The sequence below is a fragment of the Homo sapiens genome, chromosome 4, assembly GCF_000001405.40.
Source record: "Homo sapiens chromosome 4, GRCh38.p14 Primary Assembly".
Taxonomy (NCBI): domain Eukaryota; kingdom Metazoa; phylum Chordata; class Mammalia; order Primates; family Hominidae; genus Homo; species Homo sapiens.
In genome coordinates this window covers 54,092,898-54,113,956 of record NC_000004.12, presented here as the reverse complement: position 1 = coordinate 54,113,956, position 21,059 = coordinate 54,092,898, and the positions used below count along the sequence as shown (strand labels likewise).

Sequence of the window (21,059 nt, the reverse complement as noted above, 5' to 3'; positions counted from 1 at the left end):
GAAGAAGCTTTATGACATTGGGTTTGACAATGATTTATTGGATATGACATCAAAAGCATAGGCAACAAAAGAAAAAATTGATAAGATGGACTTCTTCAAGATTGAAAACTTTTGTGCATCAAAGGGCACTATCAACAGGGTGAAAGGGAATCCACGAAATGGGAGAAAGTATTTGTAAATCATATATCTGATAAGAGATTGATATTCAAGATATATAGAGAACTCTCTTAAAATGCAACAACCAAAAAAACCAACCTGATTTTAAAATGAGCAAAAGATTCAAATAAATGATTTTCAAAAAAAATACAAATGGCCAATAAGTACATTTAAAAATGGTCAAAATGAGGCCAGGTGCAGTGGCTCACCTGTAATCCCAGCACTTTAGGAGGCTGAGGTGGGAAGATCACTTGAGGCCAAAGTTCAAGATCAGCCTGGTCAACATGGTGAAATCCCATCTCTACTAGAAATACAAAAAAAAAAAAAAAAAAAAATTATCTGGGCATGGCAGTACATGCCTGTGGTCCCAGCTACTCATGAGGCTGAGGTAGGAGGATGGCCTGAGGCCAGGAGGTGGAGGTTGCAATGAGTCAAGACCATGCCACTGCAATCCAGCCTGGGCGACAGAGCAAGACCCTGTCTCAAAAAAATAAATAAATAAAAAATAACATCAGTAAGCATTAGGGAAATGAATAACAAAACACAGTAAAATACCACTTCACATACACCCATTAGAATGGCTATTACTTATTATTTTAAAAAATGACAACAACAAATAATGTGTTGGTGAAAATGTGGAGAAACAGGAACCCTTGTGCATTGCTGAGGAAAAATGTAAAATGGAGCAGCTGCTGTGAAAAACAGTATGGCAATTTCTCAAAACATTAGACATAGAATTACCATAAGATCCAGCAATTCCACTTCTGGGTGTATACCCAAAGAACTAAAATCAAGGTCTTAAAGAGACATTTGTACACCTGCGTTCATATCACACTGTGATTATAGCATTATTCATAATAACCAAAAGATAGAAGCAACCCCAGCGTTCATCAATGAATGAATGAATAAACAAAATGTGGCGTATACATACAAGGGAATATTATTCAACCTTGTCACAAAAGGACAAATATTGTATGATTCCACTTATATGAGTGTGGGAACAAGAGTGACTTCTGACTAACCCTGAGTCCAAAAATGCCTCCATAATGTCTAGGTGTCAGTACTTTTTGTGTAGAAACAGCTAGTCACTGTAAGTTTCCTCCAAAACAACACTTAATGCTGTTACAAACATCATAGGCTAGGATTCCTGTAGCACCTATACATTCCTTCCAGAGCACATATTTTTATACTTTTCCCCAAGACATCAGCCTCCCTAAGGATCTGGGAGGTTGTGGTGCTAAGATCTACCTGTCTTGCAGCCCCCAAGACCATGCTTCTGTCCATAAATTCCCCTGATAAATAATCTCATACCAACAAACTGGATTTGTCTGCTTCCTTCTTTGATTTCTTCACTTCTTTGGTATTTGGGGATCTCTTTGCATATACAGCCCTTTCACAGAACAATGAGGTACCTAGAGTACTCAAATTCATAGAGACAAAAAGTAGAATGGTGGTTGTCAGGGCAGAAGGCACAGGACAGGGGAGTTATTGTTTAATGGGTATGGAGGTTTCATTTGAGAAGATGAAAACGTTCTAGAGATGGGTAATGGTGGTGGTGGTGGTTGCAGAATAATATAAAAATGCTTAATGGCACTGAATTGTACACTGAAAAATAATTAAAATAGTAAATTTTATGCCATATATATTTTTCACCATAAAAAAATGGCTCCCAGGGGCAATTGTAAAATTATATCTGGTATTCCTAGTACGAGAAGACATGGATGTGCCTTATGTGTGTGTTAGATGAGCTTTGTTCAGACATGTTGGCTGTGAGCTCCATGTTAATAAATCAATGATATATATTACATAAGCTGTCTTTAAATAGAGACACACATAAAACAAGGTTATGTGTTGATTGCTTGACAAAAGTGTTGCAACCAGAGGTTTACAGAATCTAACTCTGTATTTCCCCTGTGAACAATGTTCAGTGTTCACTAATTCATCATTTTCAACAACTTTACAGAGCATAACTATCATGACTAAAAAGAATCAGCTGAGACAGACACAGTGGCTCACACCTGTAATCCCAGCATTTTGGGAGGATGAGGTGGGATGACTGCCTGAGTCCAGGAGTTCAAAATCAGCCTGGGCAACATAGTGAAACCCCATCTCTAATTTTTTTTTAAAAAGTAAAAAAAAAAAAACCAACAAAAAAACTGTATGTTATAAACTCCACAATATATTACTATTTTTGCTTTAAAATATTCAATTATCTTTAAAAGAGATCTTTTAAAAACATCTTTTATATTTACCCACATATTTTTTATTTGCAGGCATGTTCCCATCTACGTCTTTGCACTTGTTTCTACCTCTGTCTGGAATTCTCTTGCTCCAGCAAGCCATGTGATCAGTTCTCCACATTCTCTTTAGGTCTCTATTCAAAAGTTACTTTTTCAGTTAGACCTTCCATGGCTACTTTATCTAAATAGCTATATATCTTCACATCTATTTCCTTATTTAACTATCAATGTCCTTATTTAATTCTCAACTATTAATTATCCTTATTTTACAAATGAGGCAAGTGGAAGTCAGAGGGATGAAGTGAATTGCCCGAGGTCACACTGCTAGTAAATGGTAAAGCACGTAGATTGTCTCCAGAAACTTCTCAATATATTTACCTTATGTACATGATATTTAGCCTATATAAACATTTACATATATTTATCATGTGTATACACACACCTATAGATATATCCCATCTTCAAGCTATATTTCATCATAGCTGTTTCTAAGTCCTCCATGATTGATGCAACTGGTAGAGACTTGGAAGTAAGATGATGCACTGACCCAGCTAGCATTTACTGGGCATCTGCTAGTAGGTGCTAGGCATTGTGATGAATGCTAAGGATATAGAGATGAAAGATGCAGTTGCTGTCATCAATGTCCTCACAGTTGGGAATAGGGAGAAGACAGACACTTAGAAGTTCCATGGAGAAAGAACTAGGTAGGACCCAATGGATAAAAAATACTGAATGAAGATTCTAATCCAACACAAGAAAGTTTCTAATGGTCAAAGCTGTCTGAAAATGAAATGGGTTAGAGGGTGGAGTTCCTCTCACAGGAGTTGTCCCAGCAAAAGTATGGTGACAGTTGAGCTGGCTGTTATAGAAGGGATTGACTTAAACATAACATGGCTGATCAGGAGCCAGGTAACCAATGTGAGCTAGGGTTTTTAAAGACACTTTTCAACAAAGCGACTATTTGCAGAGATGTGTGTAGGGCTAATGGAACTAACAAGAATTTTGATGCACCCAGGGGACTAGCAGAAACTAGAAGGCATTTCCACTTCATGCCTGAAGGCACAGGGGGAGTCTGATTAAAAGCCAGAGCCTAGGAAAATAGGCTCTCAAAGAGAAAAAGAATTTCTAGAGAAGCAGCAACTGCCAGAACTGGAACAATATAACATTCCCAGAAACAATATACCTGCAGTTCTCTATCCTTAGGTTGTTCGGTTATTTGCAGTGCCACTTATTCACCAAATGCAAATGGAAGCCAGAGGCAAGCGCCTGCCAGTGACGCAGTTGATAAAGGAACTAATACTGTCCACAAAGGTCAGTGTCCGAGGGCACCCAGCAGGGCAGAAGAGGGCGAAATGGATCCAGATGGAAAACGCAGGATAATCAGCAGAGTTGTTTTTAAGGGCCCTTTATTTATTCAGAGGCAAAATTTTCTTTCCCTTTAGACTCTACAAATGAACAATCGGGAAGCGAACCTCAACTGTGGGGTGAGTGGCGCTTGGAGAAAATTGGAGCTGAGTGGATAATCCGGCTATGCCCTTCCCACGTCTCTTTCCCACGCAGCGTCACCGTCGTGCTCTCCAGTGCACACCACCAGCCATCCCTGCCCTGGCGCCCGGACGAAGCTCACGGGCTGGGGAGCCTCTTTCCTGCGCCGGTGATCAAGGGCGTCCCAGCCCACTGAGGGCCAGGAGGCGAGGCTTGGGCACACGTCCCTTCCCGCCCGGACGCTGGTGCCCGCGAGGTCCTCTTGGCCCTGCTGGGAGCGCAGGGGTCGCGGCAACCATTCAGAACCCCGGCTGCCAGACAAGCGAGGCTTTCCACGTGGGCAGAGGCGACGTTGTTCAGGTGGCAAGGATCCAAGGCTGAGCCTTCCTCCCTCTGCGTCCACCCACCGCCCCTCCCCACCCCCGACCTAGAAAAGGACACGCACACAAAAAACTTTCGCCACACTATTAATATATTCGCGTTTCCTCCCACTTTCCCAATGGGCTACCAGCTGCAGAACTCCTGAATAGAAAGCTTAATTGTGCTTTGTCATGCAGAGTACCTCGATTTTCTATAGAAGGTTACAAAGGGCCATTTGAAGTATTTCTTTCTCGCCTAATAGTGAACCATTTGCATACGGCACCTCTGCGCCTGCCAGACCCAGGTAGCTGTGCCGAAGCTCCGGGGGCCCCGGAGTAACAAAACCCAGGGCGGTTTCCAAAGGGCGCCCTACCCCGCCTCTCGCCCAGCGTTTGGACTTTTCTCTCCAATTCCCTCGGGTCACGGCCCGCCCTAGGCAGCTGATTTGGAGGACGCGAAATATGGCCTGCAGGCCGCGGGTGCCCAGCCGGTCCGTCTGATATCTTGGAGGCCTCGGGCCATCCAGGCCCTTCTAGCCTGGACCCGAGCCTTTTTTAGGCCGGGTCTACCGAACCCAGGTGGTGTTTTTCATCTACTATCTGCAGGTCCAGAGACCAGGCCTTTGCCCACGCGGGGTCCTCCACCCACTTGCTTCTCACGTAAGGCCCAAGTGAGGCGCTGAAGAACTGGAAGGTGATTATGATTTCGATACCACGCTGTTCGTTTCTCCTGGTTGATTGACAGGGCTGCGTTCAGAATATCTTTTCTTGTTGCTTGTTTTGACAGTTCAAATCCAGGTCTGTGTGACATATAAAGCTAATAAAATTCTAATTTCATTGTTAATCTTATTTCATTGCAGTATAGGTTTTTACCCTCACACCTGCATGGCAGGGTGTAATTCCATTAATAAAAAAAATCAACATATTCATTGCATGTCTTTTCCCTGATGATATATTGTGAGCAGTGTGAGTTGAGAAAGAGCCATTTATTCCCACCGTGAATGAGCCTGCATGGGGCGGGAGCTTCACCTGCCCCTCAGTCAATTAGGAATGTATCGAAAAGTCTAGCAGAAAACGAGTTAAATTAACCGTTGGCTAATTTCCTTATGTCCCTCCTACATAATCCCCCCTTTTCAGCTTGCCCCAGAAATTACCACATGTTGCAAGGTTCAAATAGTGCCTAATGAAACAGTGACTAAACGCTTCTCCCTCCGGCGCCACCGACGGGGGAGCCCTTTCGCCGGCCTTCAAAGCTTGCAGGATTTCGTGGTTCTGGTTCCCGTATCCAAGAAAAAAAAAAAGAAAAAAAGAGAAGAAAAGAAAGAGAAAGAAATTTTTGACAAGCAGAAAAAAGAAAATCTAAGCTGTCAATAACTCTCGATCCAGCGAGTGAAACTACATTAATGCCCACCCACTTCCTGCCACCGATGATGCAGTGGGATTCCGAGATGCCTGTGCCCGCAGTAGATACCCAAGTAGGAATGGCAGCTTTAGCATCCTCCTCTTTCCCCGGAGAGCTAGGAGGATTGAGCCATGGCCAGGGGAGACTGGATGGGGAAAACGGCCAGGAGAACAAAGGGTGGGGGTGGGGGCGGATATCAAGGCAGAAGGAGATGGAGACAAGACAGAGAAATGCAGACAGAGAAAGATCACTGGGGAAGCAGATGCAAAGGCAAAAAAAAAAAAAAAAAAAAAAAAAGACAGAGTGACAGCAAACACACCTCTAAAGTCTCAACTCCCTTATCCCAAGTTAAAACTACATGTATGGCTTAAGCAACTCATCAGCCTCTAGCCAAAGGCATTTTGAAGCCTTGACATTCAAAATCCTAATAATTAATCATTCTTATTAATTAATTAAGGAGGAAAGGAGGAAGGTGGCTGGCTGCTGCTTGACCCCAAACAATCTAAATTAGGGTTTGTGAAGGAAGTCTCCAAAAGCATGCACTCCCTCTCCTTCGTATTCTTTCTTTTTCACACTCTCAAAAATTTCCATTATAATCCTTCAAGGTCTGGGGCAGGCAGAGCTTCTCACCCTGCTCCATCCCTTCGCAGCAAACTGAGACCAAGCTGGCTTCTGCTCCTTGGAGCCGGCTGCCACTCATAGGCAGGGAGCTCTTTCCCATCGGGAGCAACTCCCACCTGCCTTTTTTTCTCTGCACCTGCTGTGGGTGGTTTCTCCTTGAACTTCAGAAACCAAGTAGTTGCCTAGAATTACTTTCGCCACAGTGCTCACAGGCTAAATATTACTACATTCTCTCTCTCTCTCTCTCTCTCTCTCTCTCTCTCTCTCTCTCTCTCTTGTCTTCTCTCTCCTCTCTCCCCTTGCCTCCCTCTCACTAGAGACTTGAGTCCCCTATTTGAAATGGTGCAGCTAATACAAAGTCATCAAAGCACTATGGTTCTTGTCTTAAAGTGACAGCCTGCTTTATGAGACTGTTTGAAATACTCCCCTTGCTTTTCAATGTCTCTCTATCCATCTTTGTCTGCTCTTCAGAAAAGGGGACAATATAAAGCCCAGCCTGGCGAGCTCCCCACGCTCAGGCCTGGGCAGTGCCAACCTCCGCCTTTAAGCAGATTGAAATTGTCACTGCTTCATTAATCTGAAACTAGTTACTTTCCTAAGCACACAGCATACACTTCCGATCTGTTAGGATTCACTCAGGGGAGCCCCTGGGGCCTTCCTGGGTTTGGGATTTAGAAGGCTCAACAAAGATACAGCAAGGGTTCAGGAAAACATAGGGCTCAGCTTGAAGAAAAGCAGTGTCCAGTACCGAAGGGCGGCATTGACATCAGTATATTAAGAGAGCACAAAACACTATTTTCAGAGACAATGGGATGCCCAGGATTTTGGAGGGTACACTTGAGAATAAGTAGTCTGGCTATGGCAACAGACAAGGTTATCTATTGCCACATGGAGCAGCACTAGAGGTCTCACAGGCCTCAGAATTTTTTTCCCCAAACAGAAGAAACTGGAATCCAAATTTCTTTGCAAGTTGGAGTTTTGCTGACTTTCTTTTTTTTTAGTTTTTTTTTTTTTTTAATCTGAGTTCTGATTCAAGTCTGATTCTAAGAGATGTCTTAAGTTCTGTGCTTCTTTGGCCCCTCCCTTAGTTCCAGCCTGTGTTGCCCACTCCAAGTGCCAGATGTTGGATGTAGAAGCCTCGGGTCCTTATAGAATTTCTATGAGACAAGTTGCCCCTTTTCTTCATACCCCCACCATTAACAAAAGACAATACAAAGGATTCTATTACTTTTAATATTTCTAGCTGGCTTAGAATAGCAAGTTTTTGGGTTCTATTCTATGTAGTTTAGGGAAGAGATGTGGGCATTTTTTAAGAGAAGCTCAATTTTCAGTAATGTGAGCCTAAAGATTTATAAAATAGATTTATATTAAATTATGTTAATAGACGCCTAGTAAATGCACCATTTAATTGCATGGAAAAAAATGTTCCCTTTTAAAAGGTCTGTCACCTTAACAGGTACATTCAAAGATTTCCTGTGAATAATGAAAATAGGAACAATTGCTTTGATGCACTGAACTGCATTCATCGTCTAGGACAGCTTTGGGCTGTGTTTGGAGAAGATGGGAGGAGCTCTTTTGAAAGGAGTGATTGCTCCTTTAAACTTGATTTCCTCTAGCAAATAGGTTCTATTGGAGTGTCATTCTCCTCCCCTCTCTCACACCCGTAAGGCTGGGCTTGAGATCATGCCCCAGAGCTCTTCTCCATGTCTCCCCTCCATGTTCAGACTGTTTTTCCTCCCCACAACCCAACACTGAGCACCTCCCCATCTCCCTCAAAGAAATCTCTCAAGGAGTGCCATTAAAAGCGAGTGGAACCTGCAGGAAAGGTATAAGTGGGAAACAAAAAGAAAAAGAAAACCTGGTTAAAAATTACTCTTTTCCACCTACATCACCACCATCAAAGGACCCTCTCTGTCTCTTTCACACACACATGTGCCTCATGCATGCACACACTACACACATGTACATACAAAGCCCCTGTTGCCCTCTGTGACTGCTTTTAGTTAGAACCACCACCTTTCTGGCAATTGTCTGACCACAGTTAGAGTGTGCCAAGCAAACTGCATTTCTAATCCTGACCAGATATAACTGGACAGAACTGGTGGGGCGTTGTGGGTTAGCGGGGTGGTGGTTGGCAATGAGGAGACGGAGGCGGAGGTCAGAAATCAAAGACTTCACATCCCCAAGTGTTTTGTCTCTCCTAAAATTATTAGATATTCTTTAGGGGAGTGGGGAAGGGACTGAGCTATGATGACCACTTCAGAATAAGGACCCTAGAGGAAAAGAGGTCTATGGGCACCAGTGTCTCCATCATGCAGGCCCACTGACACCCTAAGGATGGGCTACTGGGTCACTTTTGCTTTTGGCCTAGTTTGCTATCAGTATCAGGCCCTTGGCCTTAGGCATTTGTTGGTGGCTGAGTGGGAGAGTGAAGGGGAAAAGTCTCTGTTCCTCCTCTATGCTCTGAATGTCTGGGCTGGGCCAGGGCACATGGGTGAGAGGTCATCCTTCCTGCTCTCCACTCTGCCTTCCACCCCCAGCTCTTTTCCTGTTTAAAACTAACATGAGACTTGTTCTCAAAAAGATGGACTCAACCACACTCACAGCGGGTGCTACCCACTGATTTTCTCTTGGTGGAGCAAGTTCCTGTTTTCTAATTCTCATTCTCATTTTCATTCTCTTTCTTTCCATTCTTTCTTTCTTTCCATGACCTCTCTAAGAGGTCATGCTCTGGGGGAACATAGTTCTGTTTCTGTTTTTCAATTGGGGCATAATGGAAACTAGTATCTAGTGCTTCCCAGGTAGAGAAATTGTCAAGGGTGACCCCATACATCTTAAACTTTCCTCTTAAATGGGTGTTTGATATCAAGATTATTTAGCTGAGAATGTGAGTTTCTGAGGGTTGGCTTAAATGCTCTTAAACTAAAGTGAAACTGTTGGTCTTTAGAATCAGACCGACTCCAAAATACCAAAGCATTATTCCGATTTGAAAACTTCAAAAACATCAACTGATATTTTTTGAGGAGTGGGGATAGGGAAACATGTAAAACTTATTCTAGCATAGTAGGAGACCTCATACTCCATTCTGAAAGTGACCAAAGGAGTCCACTTTGCATCGGATGTCCTAGAAGGAAGACCTCCCTGGGAACCCTGGAGAACCTTTTCTTCTATGGAGAGTGTCCCAACATCTAAATAGGTATCGCTACGCTTTTTTTTTTTTTTTTTTTTTTTTTTTTTTGCCTCTGGGCAGAAATACTTTGTTTATTCTCCTTTCCCTAGGGAACTTCCCCAAAGATCGAAGCAAGAGGGGCTGGGGCCATCCAAGCAGATCCAAACCATCTAAACAGGGTTGGCACTGCGGCTATCTGCGGCATGGCAGAGCTGGGTCCACCGCGCGCGGTACCTGGTGTTCCAAGTGCTTGGCTCCGCAGGGCCTGGGAGCCGGGGGCCGGGAGAGGCTTAAGAGACTGTGATCGGGGCTAGTCATGGACATAGGGGAGGGCTAAACCCAAGCGCTGAGCCCCAGAGGGGCCGGGCTGGGTAGATGGAACGGGGACCAGAGGAGTCTCCCCACAGCCCAGAGGAAGCTTAGCTTTGGGCAAGAGCGCAAAGAGCTGCAGCAGGCGCTCTTTGTGCTTCTTATTTCCCCTGGTGGAAATAGTCTGCTTAAACTCCTGTTCTTTGCGCCTGCAAACTCCCGTCCTCCCACCTCTGTTCTCGCGCGCGGAGAGGCCTGCTTCTTGGGAAGAAGGGAGACAGAATCTTTTGGAAAGGCAGCCGGCCTGCGCCTCCTCCCTTTCGTGGCGGGCAGGGCGAAGAGCCCGGAGCTCTGCGCGTGAGAGACAGGAGGAAAGAGATCCAGAGGCCTGAGCTTCCCAGGCCAGGCAGTAGTGAGCCGGCTGTCTGGGACCTCTGCGCAGGACAGAGCTCAGCACATTGCACAAAGCGCCGGCAGCTCCCTTTTCAGCCTCACACAGTGCGGGCCCTCCTCCCTATGTCCCTTGACGGAACGAAGAGGGATTTTCCTTCTGAGCCTACTGTGTGTGTGTGTGTGTGTGTGTGTGTGTGTGTGTGTGTGTGTGCGCGCGCGCGCGCGCGCTAAAGACAACACTCAGGGAAAACCGTGTCCAGTTTTAGAACCCCAGCCGTACCTGGTGAGGTTCAGTCCGACCGGCCTCTAGTAACTCAGACCTAAAGCCCTTGTGTATGTGTGTTGTCATTAACTCCTGTGGCTTGAACCTATTGGGTGGCGTCTTTATAGAACCTAATCAGAAATCACACCGGTTGAGGATTAGTGGGGCTCAGCTTGCAGGGAATGAGATCTCTTCGTTTTCCTGTTTCCAGTTTCTTCACTTCTCTCCCTAAGATAACAAGCCCAGGCCGCACTGAGGAGAGAGCCAGTTGCCCTGCTGAGGGAAGAGCTAGAAATAAGTCTTCTCTGGGACCAGGCTTAAAGGAAGTGATTCTGCTAGGCTATGGGAAGGGGGGTGGGCTGGAAGGGACTAGAAGGGAGCCAAATTAACTGAATATTAGGGTGACCGGGAAAAAAAGCCCCAAAACTCAAAGCTCTAAAGGCATCTCTGGGCTGCTTTGAAAAAGTGAGATTATAAATCTTTGAACAGAATACTTCCTGTCCCTGACTTTTTGTTTTCTTAACATTGAGGGAAACCCGCTAATTCTGCTTGTAGCATCGTTATTAAGTTTCCACTGTTTGCTTCTGACCTGTTTGATGGATTGTTGCTCTTCCTAAAACTATTCTGACTCTACAAATTCCTTCACATAATTCAAGTTTTCGTACTGAGAGAAATGAGGAAGTAGAAAGAAGAAAACAAAAACTAGATGGGGGATTTTTACCCTTCCTTGCTAAATAAAGGTTTACCTGTCGTTAATGGTCAGTGTCATTCCAAATGGAGTGATTTGTCCTATCAACTGTGAGGAGGTTGCCTATTTTAAGGATGGAGAGGCACTGCCTGGTAGATGCCATCATGACTAAAGGTGTCTCCTTGGCGAAAGTTCTGTTACATAGAAAACCCATTGAGCCACAAACTCCCTCAGTCAAGAGACCCACATTACCAAGTTCTTACTCAACATTTTCCTCGAATTCCTCAGACAGCTTTTTCCTGCATATGCCTTTCTCTAGACATTGGAGGAGGGGGCAGGAGAAGATAGGGAGAGCAAACACCACAGATTTAAAATTCTGGTTTTTGTTTCATTTATTTAAATAAATATAAATATAAATTTTATATAAACCTATTCACATACAAAGGGACTTCCAGCGACTTAGATTTTAAATTCTCCCCAGGCGAAATTTCAGAAAGCAAGACCTACAAGGTCTAATTTTCTAAATTATTTTCAACTTGGGTGTTTTTGTTTGAAAACGACAACAGAAAATAATCAATAAATCCTGTGTTCTTATCGAGTTCTGAAAGAGAGTAGGGATGGGGAACTGACATGTGCTTTCAAAAACCCCATACAGTGTTAAACTTAAACCAACCCTGTTTTTCCTCTGTTATACGACAAGAATGAGTTGAATTATAGGTTATTTACATTTTTTAAAAAAATCTGTAACTTCAAGTTGGAGTCCTAGATAAACAGGTCAAGAAGGAGACGCGAAGGGTCAGGTCCCGGCTTGTCCATTCCAGAACTTCCAGGTTCGTTTCTTCTCCAGATGGGACCACTGCAATGAGCAAGGATTCTGGCCCCTGGGTGCCCCACGCCTTGGCGTTGCCTGGTCTGCCAGGAGCGGGGGATGTGAGGGAGGAGGCCCTCCCTCATAAGGGGGAAATCTCCTTGTCATCGTTGGCTGAGGCCGGCGACAGGGAGTCCTCATCCTCGGAGCGCGCGTAGTGCACCTGGCTCCCGACGCACTTGCAGCCCGCGTGACTGTTCCTCTGCGTGCCCTTCCCCTCCTTCTTGTGCTTCACTCGGCGGTTCTGAAACCAGATTTTCACCTGCTTCTCCGACAGGTTCAGGTAAGTGGCGATTTCAATCCTCCGGAGTCGAGACAGGTACATGTTGGAAGAGAATTCTCTCTCCAGCTCCAGGAGTTGCGTGCTAGTGAACGCCGTCCTCATCCTCTTGCCATTGGGTACCTGGCTGGCGTCAGAGCCTCCTGCGGACCGGCGAAGAGAGGGTAGAGAGGTAAGGCTCGGGCAAGGTGCTCCCACCCCATGTGCTAACCAGGACGCATTTCAGGGACCCACCCGGGGAAGCCCAGCCGAACATCTGTATCCCTTTCCCATTTCAAGGCACGTGGTTGCTTAGCGGGGAAGAAAAGAGACGTGCAAAGCAAATAAAGGTCTTCGATGCGCAGGATGCGAAGTCACAGGATTAAAGAGGGATGGGGGCTTGCACTATCTGATCGCCTCCCTTTGAGCCAAGCGGAGAAGCGCGCAGGCTTAGCCAAAAACGTCAAGACGCTTTAGCCGCCCCGACGCGGGGATGCCACACAGGTTCAAACACACCCACCCCAAATCCCAAGCAGTTAACCTCTGGTTTATCCGCCGTGACGTTCGAGGTCCCTAAGGCCCCAGTATTAATAAGGCAATACTCGAGCACCTACTACTAGGAGTAAAACGCACCAGGCTGAGTGGAGAAGCTGGCAAACTAACTTCCACTTTCGTGGAACTTCTGTGGCTGACTCTACGGTTACACTAAAAGCCCGTCCTCTCTCTTCACCCTGTCCCCGGGCTCCCACTTCCTCCACTGGAGGTGGAAAGTTTGCTCCAGGAGCGCGAAAGGCGCGGAGCGCAGGTGCCCCAAGACCCCGCCCTACCCATGGTGAGGCAGTGGAATCTCCGCGGGTCCGCCACGTTGTAGGTGGTGGCGGTGCAGACAGGTGCGTGGTGCTGCGGGTGCCCCAAGGCCGCCGCGGCCGCCGCCGCCGCTGCTGCTGCTGCCGCCGCCGCGGCCGAGCCAGGCTGCTGGGGCTGATGATGGTGATGGTGGTGCTGCGGCGGGTGGTGGTGATGATGCGCATGGTTCACCCGCGGGCAAAACTGCGCGTCCCCAGGAGCCGAAGAGAACTGGCCCTTAAGCAGAGGCAGTGCCCCTGCGGCCCCTGCCACCCCACTGCCTCCGGCCCCGGTAACCCCGGCCCCTGCGCCCCCGCTGCCGGCGCCCACAGACCCCCGAGAGGAGTGCAGGTGCGAAGTGACGCAGAGAGGGCACACGCAGAACGCGCCGCTCTTGCGGGACGGGCAGCCGGGGCCGGACACGGACATCACCAATGGGGGCGGCATGCCAAGCGGGATGAAGAAATCCGGCCCGGGGTGCGGTTCAGGCAGCGAGGGCGCAGGCCGTGAGGTGTCCTTGATGATGAGCGAGTCGACATAGAAGGAGCGCGACATGTCGAGAGGGGTGGGTGGCTGGAAGCCCCGGCAGTTCGCGGCGACCCCTCTCCTCTAGTGTTCTAAGCTCTGCCCTGGGAGCCGCGCAGACACGGGCAGTCAAGCCCTTGGGGACGCAGAGGTGTTGGCGTCTGGGCTGGGAACAAAGGGGTCCCCGGAGAGGGCTGGTCCTCACGTCCCCCGCCCGGCGCCCCGGCTCGGGTATTTTATAGCCCCCCACCCTGGCACGTGATGCTGCGGAGTACCGCTCGGCTCAGGCTCCTCGGCAGCTCCGCACCCTCGGGATAGGCTGCCCGAGTCACAACAGAAGCCGCGAGGAGGGGCGGGCGCGCGGCGGGGAAGAACTCGGGGGAGGGGGATGGGGGAGACTTTGCAAAGTGTAGGTTTTGTTAATTTCCCGGGGAGGCCGGCCTCCTCCCCCTCTTTCTCCACGCTTTACTGAGAAATCACAGCGCTGCATCCTCCATCCCACCCCCTCTCGCTACCCTGGCCGCAGCCCAACTCTTCCCCACGCCCCACCGCAAAGCGTACCAGGTGGGGACTTGGAGGCTTATTTAATAGGAATGCTCAGTGTTTCCAGCTCCTCTGTGGTAGGGGTGGCTGCGGCGCGGTGAAGTGTGAGGCCTGCGGTTTGGAGCAGGATTGTGCGGGCGACGGACTGGCAGTCGTCCAGTCCCTGAGCGCAGCTCTGGCCACGGTTACACCTACCCCTGTCCACAGCTTTTGGACTTGGCAGAGGTCATTCAGGTGGTTAGTTCAGGACTGTCCGGCGCAGAACTGTGAGGCCTCCCAGCTAAGAAACCGTCAAGCTTTTCATGCTGATGTTCGACAAGGTCTGAAGTGTCTTTGTACTTGGGGCCCTCCTGGGGCCACTCAGACCAACGACCCTTCCTTGTTTCCCTTTCTGATCGGCACCTCCCACTTCCGCAGAGAGAGAGAGATGTTGAAGAGTCACCCTTTTCTTTCTCCAAGTAGTAACACCATGGCATTCCAGGGCAATCCTACAAACTCCATCCTGAAGATTTTGGAGGGAGGACCTCAAACACCAAGCCCTCCTAAAGACGCAGCAGGGATTAGATAGACCTTCGCTCTGGGTCTGAGGATTTCCTGTCCCTCATTTTTACCAATCATGGGCAGCTTAGCAAGGCTAACCAGGAAGCACTCTTTCCTCTGCATCTTAAGAACCTAAAAAGGATGAAGAGGATTCAGCCATCCAGGGAATCTTGCCTCTGATTGGCAGAAGTGGCTTTGTAAGGGAACTCTCTCTGGTCCATGGAAGTCTTGCACACCCCTTACTGCCCGAGAGAGGGTGGCTGCCAAACTATTGGGACTATTTATCTTCGGAGAAGGCAAGGCAGCAGAGGTGGCCATTTTCTCTCTTCATTTCCCCCTGCAGAAAAGCGGGCTGGGGCCATGTGGTTGGGCAATAGTTAGAAGTCTGATCCTTTTTCCAGAGCAGCTAACTTCAATCCTGAGTTCATGATGGTGCTAAGAAACTTAGAGACAGGACTCCCTCCACCTGAGAGAACAAGGTGCCCAAATCCAGGAGAGCACTAGCTAGAGGCACGGCTCTATCTTTCCATCCTCTGTCTTCCCCTCTCCATCTCTGTGACAGTCTCTCTTGCCTGCTAGAGAAGTGTAATTGGGTTGTAGGGATGCCCGGCTCTGGGGAGCCCAGGATTTATGGATGGCAATTAAAGTTTTATGAATTGCAGCTGAGGCTGGTTATTGAGCTATTTGAATGTGATTAGAATTCAATTAGAAAGCGGTTAGTGGACGGTGGGTCTCTGGAGTGTAAACAGACAGCTATTCCAGAAATGTGCTAATCCAACATCTTGTGACAACAATTAAGGAGTCTCAGGGCTTAACATGGGGCAGCTCAGCTGTAACTACTTTTGTACCACAAGGTCTGCAGACGCTCAGGCTCACCCCAGCCCGCCCTTGTTCATGACTGGAGGATCTAGGCAATCCCCGAAATCATTTCAGCCCCAAGAAGAAGGCTTGGAGCCACTGATGGAGAATGGCAATAAAAAACATACCCTGCTGAATGGCAGGATATTTTTTACAGTCCTAAACTGTCCAAATAGATGACTCGATTCCCCCCATTCACTTTGCAACTATACAAGCATATATAGATATAGATACAGATACTCTTTAAGAATAATAGCTTTCTCTCTTTTCCTCCTCTGGGTTAGGTCCCAGGTTATCCACAGTCTGTTTTGGGCTGATGGTTTGAGTCACAATGTTCCCAGCAGTTTGGGATGTGTTCAGAGGAAGAGCTCCTATGCTAAAGTCCTAGAAATCGCACCCATGTGCAGACCATTTTACCTTAGAGAATCTTAACTATGCAAGAGGCTTGTGCATCTTATTCAATTTGTGTCTGACTGTGGAAACTTTCATTTTTCAGTGCCAAGGAGTTTTGAGAAATGTGAGGGGCTCATGGGGTTTCCTAAAGACTTCAAGGGGAGCAGTGGTTTCAGACCAGGCTGAGGCTGAAAGCAAGACCATGTCTGAAAAACTTGACCCTTAGGGTACTTGGTTAATTCCTTCAGCCCACCAAGAGCAAGTATACTGGAATCCCATTTCTTGCACAGTTTCTGTCCACTCTGACTCACTTCTCTAGTTCTCTTTGGATCTCTCAGTGTCTGCCAGTCTCTCTCCCTCCTTCTCTTCTGAGTCCAGCCCCTATCTGGCCCTACCTGCCTATCCCCTCCTCAAAGGAAGCCTACCCTCCATGCCCCCGGGGCAGCACTGCCCACCCCCCACCCCAGCCCTGCCCAGCCCTACTGTTCCCCAGAGTGCAGTGCCCTGAACCAGCAGGAGACCCCAAGTTCAGCTTTCTTTTCCTGAGAGGGAACAGACAGACCATTGGCGTGTGCCCATGGTGTCTGAGCCGCCACACAATTTTATTTCTCAGTGATTCTGTCCGATAAAATTTCATCGTCCATTAAGTAATCCCCAAAATGAGAGCTCTTATGAGCCTATAATGAGCTCTAATTGCCACAACTCCAGGAGCCACGTGGAAGGATTTATTCTGTATTAAGCAGTCGGGTACAGAGTACAGGCTGTTACCTAAGCCATTACTTTCATAATTCAAGGAGAAAATTAGTTCTTTTAAAGGAAAGGGGAAATCTTTTTATTATCTCCCTCTTGCTTGGGACAATAGAGTATGGTTTTGTCTTCCTTGAGTGCAAGACAGTGTCACATATGTGATGGTAACAAAATTGTTCTTTGTACCTCCTCCTGGCCAAGGCACTCCACCCTTACCCTCAACTTACAAAAAAAAAATCAAAGCTATTCTAGAAAGAACAGCAGAGGCATGGCCTTCTTGTCTCTCGATTCTCCAAGTTGAGCCTGGGTGAGCAGTTTCCTTTCAGCCCAACCCTGAGATTTGGATTCTCAGTTCTAGCTTCCAAAAGGTCTCCAGTACTTCTTCCCAGCTCTGGAATGGCACCTGACCTGAACCCCACATTCCTGTCTCACTTCTCTTTCTTCCTGTTTGCTTTCATGGGCAAAGTCAGGACAAGTAAAGGGCAGGGACTTAGCATTGCTTATTCAACAGGCCCCAGAGTTCTGACCCGTTCCTGTGCTTAGCTGTTTTTTTCAGGCTGTAACTCCCACTTTGCCCCTCCCTCTGTGTCCTCCAAACCTCCCCACCTCCCCCACCACCACTTTCATCCCCAGTCCTTTTTTCTCTTAGTTTCAGCATTTGCCCACATGGTTCTCCAGCTCCAAATGGAGGCTGCAGGCAGGGCGGGACAGCCGGGGAGTTGGCGGGGCCGCCTCGGATTTATTTGCTCCTCTTACATTGATTTCATATTAGTTTCCAAAGCGATGAATGATCTCAAAGCTGGGTTTTGTTAGCCGAACACAAACAGGAGACAGGACTTACTTGCCCCCAGCTCCCTTTAATGAGGTCATTATCAAAGCGTGAACAAGTCTATGAATGTTTTATTGAAAGTGCATCGTTAACTTGTATCCATCCTTTTCTCCGAGTGGCATTGTGATATTGCTGTCTGTGGCACATCTTACCCGATATAGCCCGAGATTTCCCCATTCTCTGTAACCAGGCAACCCTTTCTGAATACCCAAAAATTGAAAAGAACCGCTTAGTCTTCAAGAAAGTCCTCAATAATAGTGGAAAAGAACAAAGATCCAGGAGACAACAAAATGCCACAGGGGTGACTTTTCATGAGCAATTATCTCTCATTAATCAGAAGAACAGCTGCAATATTAATTTTCTCTCTTTCTTCCTCTCTTTTCACAGTCCCCAACATTTGAATAATCATAAATTTTGATTTTATGAAGGAGTCACATTTTCAGGGGCTGGAGGAAAGCAGCTACCTAGGTGAAGACAAGAAGAAAATGCTCTCATTTTATTTTATTTTTTGTTTGGGTAAAGCTGCCAACAAAGCAAAATGGAAAAAATAAAAATAAGAAATGCCAGAGAAAATGCCCCCCCCCCTTTCTTCTTCTAGATGGCTGTTGAGAATAAGGACTCTCTTCTCCCCCACCCTCTGCTCACAACTACCCCTCCTTTCTTTCCTCCCCCCGCCCAGACCCATTCCCCAGTTTTGCTCTGAGCAGGGCGGAGGGAAACGTCCCTGGCGTCTGGCGTGGGAGTTTCAGCCGGGTTTCTGCCCGTTTAACTTGCAAACGTGAAGCCAAGCGTTGTCGATCTGACCAAAGAGACACTCTTTGGGCGTAACTTGCATTGTGGCCATCAAAAGCCCGCCAGCCTTGGATGAACTGAGAAGTGTATTCAGCAGAAATGGGGCGCTCGCTCTCCTTTCAGGCTCTGGAGAGGCAATTGTTCACAGGATGTGTAGCCAGGGTGGAAAACGTGGGTCCCCAGATAAGGCTATAACCTGCAAACGAGCTTGGGGGAGTTAAAAGAATCTCATTAAAGCCCCGGCTGCAATTAGCAAATACACACTCATAGAGAACTCAAGCTCCTCTTGAAAAGCTGTGGGTCAAGATGAAAGAGGGCAGTTGGGAGCTAGTCCCCACATTCTTGTACTGCTTGAGTGATGGGGGGCTCAGGAGCCAGGCTATTCCTTCAGCTGCCCCAATATTGTTAGTTTTAATGCAAGGCCAGGGAAGGCCTTTCTAGAGGGAGGGCAGGCTGTGGGCCCTGTGTTCATGCACCACCAAAAATAATCTTGCTTCTCCCTGGTGTTTATTCAGAACGGATGGGCTTTTGAGAAACCTGAATTCGCCTTTGTGCTCACCACAGTTGCAAGAGTTCAATTCGGCCCTCTGAGAAGAAGCAGCGGGGAGAGGGGGGTGGGGGGTGGTAGTGGAGGTCTTCTGAGAAATAAGTGAGGGGTTTGGCTTAGAATTTCAGGAACGGCCCAGTTGGAAAAAAGTTGTGATGGCACTGAATGCCTGCCACACAGCCCCTCTGCTCCCCACTTCACTTTAATTAATATTCGCCCACCCCCAAATCCTCAAGCCGAACAAGGCATCCCTCTCCCACCCTCAGAGCTCTCCTCTGTCATCAGAATAAAATTTATCGAGCGCCTACTCTGTGCCCAGCGTGTGCTAGGCACTGCAGGGAGCAGGCCTGAAAAGGCCAAGACAGTATCCAATAGAATATTGTTTCATTTCAGTAACAATGGCCTGAGGTGGGGAACAATTATCCGGATAATTGAAGCAAATGCTTCACCTCCCTCCCTCCCTCTCCAGTTCTCCTGGCACTTACTATTTTTTACTACCCTATTCAGAGATGTGGTTTTTGTATTGGAGGGCGGGCGGGGGAGGCAGGAGTGTGTAAGAGGAGGGTTGAATTATTCACATGCATACCAATTCCCCACTTCCCTTGGCCTAAATTTTCTGAAAGCTTGGAGCCAAAATAGCTGCTTAGTTATGGGAGCAAAGACTTAAAAAAAAAAAAGTCACTAAAATAAGAGCAATTCTTTATAATTTTTAGCAGCCCAGCCCTTCTGGTTTTTGATCTTGGTCATCTACAAAAATCACCTGGAGAGCTTTATAAAAATACTGATTACCTAAGGGATTTCGATTTAATGATGTGAGGCTGGAACACGGCGGGGTGTAGATGGAGGGGGAGACAGAAGTCAACCAGAATTCTGCATGCGGTTCTGATGTAGTTGAGAAATAACTGATAAATCCTGCCCCCTACGCCCTCCTACCATGGAATCTGAAGAGAGCAACGTAACTTTTTTGAGCCTTATCTGGTCATTTGATAGTTGGAAAGTGTGTATTGAGCGCCTATTATACCCCAGGCTGCGCGCAAGGGAATTCAGTAGCACAAGACCCGCCCCCGGGGAGTTTCCAGGTTAAGCGAATCAACAAATTAACTCGGAGCTGGTGAGTTAAAAAGGTCGTGTGAATATGAAAGAAAAGCTCAAGGGGCTCTGGGTGATGATAAAACCGAAGCTTGAAGTGACATTTAAACGGAGACCTGCAAGATGTGCGGGTGTTGGCCTGGGAAAGAGGGATGGGGAATGCGTTCCCGGCCACCTAAGGGTGCTCACGGGAGCCTCCGAGAGTTTCTCTTGGTTAATTGCAAAAACTGAAAGGAGGCCTAGGAAAGTGGAGAAAGAATTTCAGTTTCTGCATCTGTAAAATAGAGAAAATGCCATCGTCTTCGAGTTTTTGTGAGGAATTCAGGACTGCCTAACACCGGGCCTGGTGCCTGGTAAGGCTCGTGGCTTCTCTTGTTGGTTTTATTATTATCTGAGACCTGCAGCTCCATAGGCTCTTGAAGCTTGTAAATTAGGTATCAGAGTCCCTGGGCTTGGCAACTAGGAGCCAGGAAGCCGCTGCACAATCATCTCTCCGTCCCCCCGCGCCTTTTCCCGGCCGAGTGTTGCCCTCTAAGGCTCCTCCACAGCCTGGCGCTCGCACCCTGAAGGCGCCCAGTGTGGGGCCTTTCTATCCCTCGGTTTCCGGGCATATGTTTGTTCAGCAGTTACATTAACCTCGCCACTCCCCACCCCCGTCAAAGGCTCTGGCGTCCTGGCCGTCCCTACTTGGGACTGCGCCCTAAATTTCAAAACGTTCCTATGATATTAGAAACCTCCCAGCTTTGCTGCACACCCACCTGCTTTGCATAGGAGGAAAACAGTCGCCTTTCGAGTATATGACAATACTCGTAGGTACATTTTCTGAGCTCTCACTGTGTGGCAGTTCTTGAACCAAGAGCCTTGCCTGCATGACCTCATTAATCCGCACAACAGCCCTCCCAGATAAAATGCCATTATTTTCTCCTCATTATGTTTGCGGAGAACCCTATTTGAACTACTGAAGTTCAAAGACTGAACCAAGGTCACACAGCTAGTGATGGCAGAGCCTTTTAGGCACTAAGCAATACTAACCACCTGATAACACCTAGCATTTATTGAACACCTACTATATGCCTGGCAGTGGCTGAAGACTTTAATGCCTCCTTTATTTCTCACAGCAACCCTGTGAGGTAGGTGCT

General features: G+C 47.4%; 1 protein-coding gene across 1 annotated transcript, besides 7 other annotated features; it reads right to left on the bottom strand.

The window, feature by feature from the left end:
* Window positions 9,196–9,970: an enhancer, noted in NCBI's record as "H3K4me1 hESC enhancer chr4:54970154-54970928 (GRCh37/hg19 assembly coordinates)". NCBI's record gives its function as "activates a minimal SCP1, AML or CMV promoter by ChIP-STARR-seq in primed H9 embryonic stem cells {active_cell/tissue: H9 hESC(primed)}" and the evidence as "EXISTENCE:reporter gene assay evidence [ECO:0000049][PMID:30033119]".
* Window positions 9,971–10,746: an enhancer, noted in NCBI's record as "H3K4me1 hESC enhancer chr4:54969378-54970153 (GRCh37/hg19 assembly coordinates)". NCBI's record gives its function as "activates a minimal SCP1, AML or CMV promoter by ChIP-STARR-seq in primed H9 embryonic stem cells {active_cell/tissue: H9 hESC(primed)}" and the evidence as "EXISTENCE:reporter gene assay evidence [ECO:0000049][PMID:30033119]".
* GSX2 (GS homeobox 2) lies at window positions 11,459–13,794 on the bottom strand. The gene is made up of 2 exons (NM_133267.3): window positions 13,039–13,794; window positions 11,459–12,375 (listed from the first exon to the last, which is right to left on the bottom strand). Exons 1-2 carry the CDS (start codon window positions 13,610–13,612, stop codon window positions 12,035–12,037), a joined length of 915 nt encoding a protein of 304 aa, NP_573574.2. The 5' UTR covers window positions 13,613–13,794; the 3' UTR covers window positions 11,459–12,034.
* Window positions 11,578–12,367: an enhancer, noted in NCBI's record as "H3K4me1 hESC enhancer chr4:54967757-54968546 (GRCh37/hg19 assembly coordinates)". NCBI's record gives its function as "activates a minimal SCP1, AML or CMV promoter by ChIP-STARR-seq in naive H9 embryonic stem cells {active_cell/tissue: H9 hESC(naive)}" and the evidence as "EXISTENCE:reporter gene assay evidence [ECO:0000049][PMID:30033119]".
* Window positions 12,368–13,159: an enhancer, noted in NCBI's record as "H3K27ac-H3K4me1 hESC enhancer chr4:54966965-54967756 (GRCh37/hg19 assembly coordinates)". NCBI's record gives its function as "activates a minimal SCP1, AML or CMV promoter by ChIP-STARR-seq in naive H9 embryonic stem cells {active_cell/tissue: H9 hESC(naive)}" and the evidence as "EXISTENCE:reporter gene assay evidence [ECO:0000049][PMID:30033119]".
* Window positions 13,160–13,950: an enhancer, noted in NCBI's record as "H3K27ac-H3K4me1 hESC enhancer chr4:54966174-54966964 (GRCh37/hg19 assembly coordinates)". NCBI's record gives its function as "activates a minimal SCP1, AML or CMV promoter by ChIP-STARR-seq in naive H9 embryonic stem cells {active_cell/tissue: H9 hESC(naive)}" and the evidence as "EXISTENCE:reporter gene assay evidence [ECO:0000049][PMID:30033119]".
* Window positions 17,328–18,126: an enhancer, noted in NCBI's record as "VISTA enhancer hs678". NCBI's record gives its function as "enhancer in: neural tube[11/12]" and the evidence as "EXISTENCE:transgenic organism evidence [ECO:0001131][PMID:17130149]".
* Window positions 20,314–20,933: an enhancer, noted in NCBI's record as "H3K4me1 hESC enhancer chr4:54959191-54959810 (GRCh37/hg19 assembly coordinates)". NCBI's record gives its function as "activates a minimal SCP1, AML or CMV promoter by ChIP-STARR-seq in naive H9 embryonic stem cells {active_cell/tissue: H9 hESC(naive)}" and the evidence as "EXISTENCE:reporter gene assay evidence [ECO:0000049][PMID:30033119]".

Bases quoted from the DNA above. Each gene is read 5' to 3' on its own strand.
- GSX2 (NM_133267.3), bottom strand. From the start codon at position 13,612: ATGTCGCGCTCCTTCTATGTCGACTCGCTCATCATCAAGGACACCTCA. The intron at 12,376-13,038 runs GTAGGGCGGGGT...GCCGGTCCGCAG, and splicing joins ATTCCACTGCCTCACCATGG to GAGGCTCTGACGCCAGCCAG.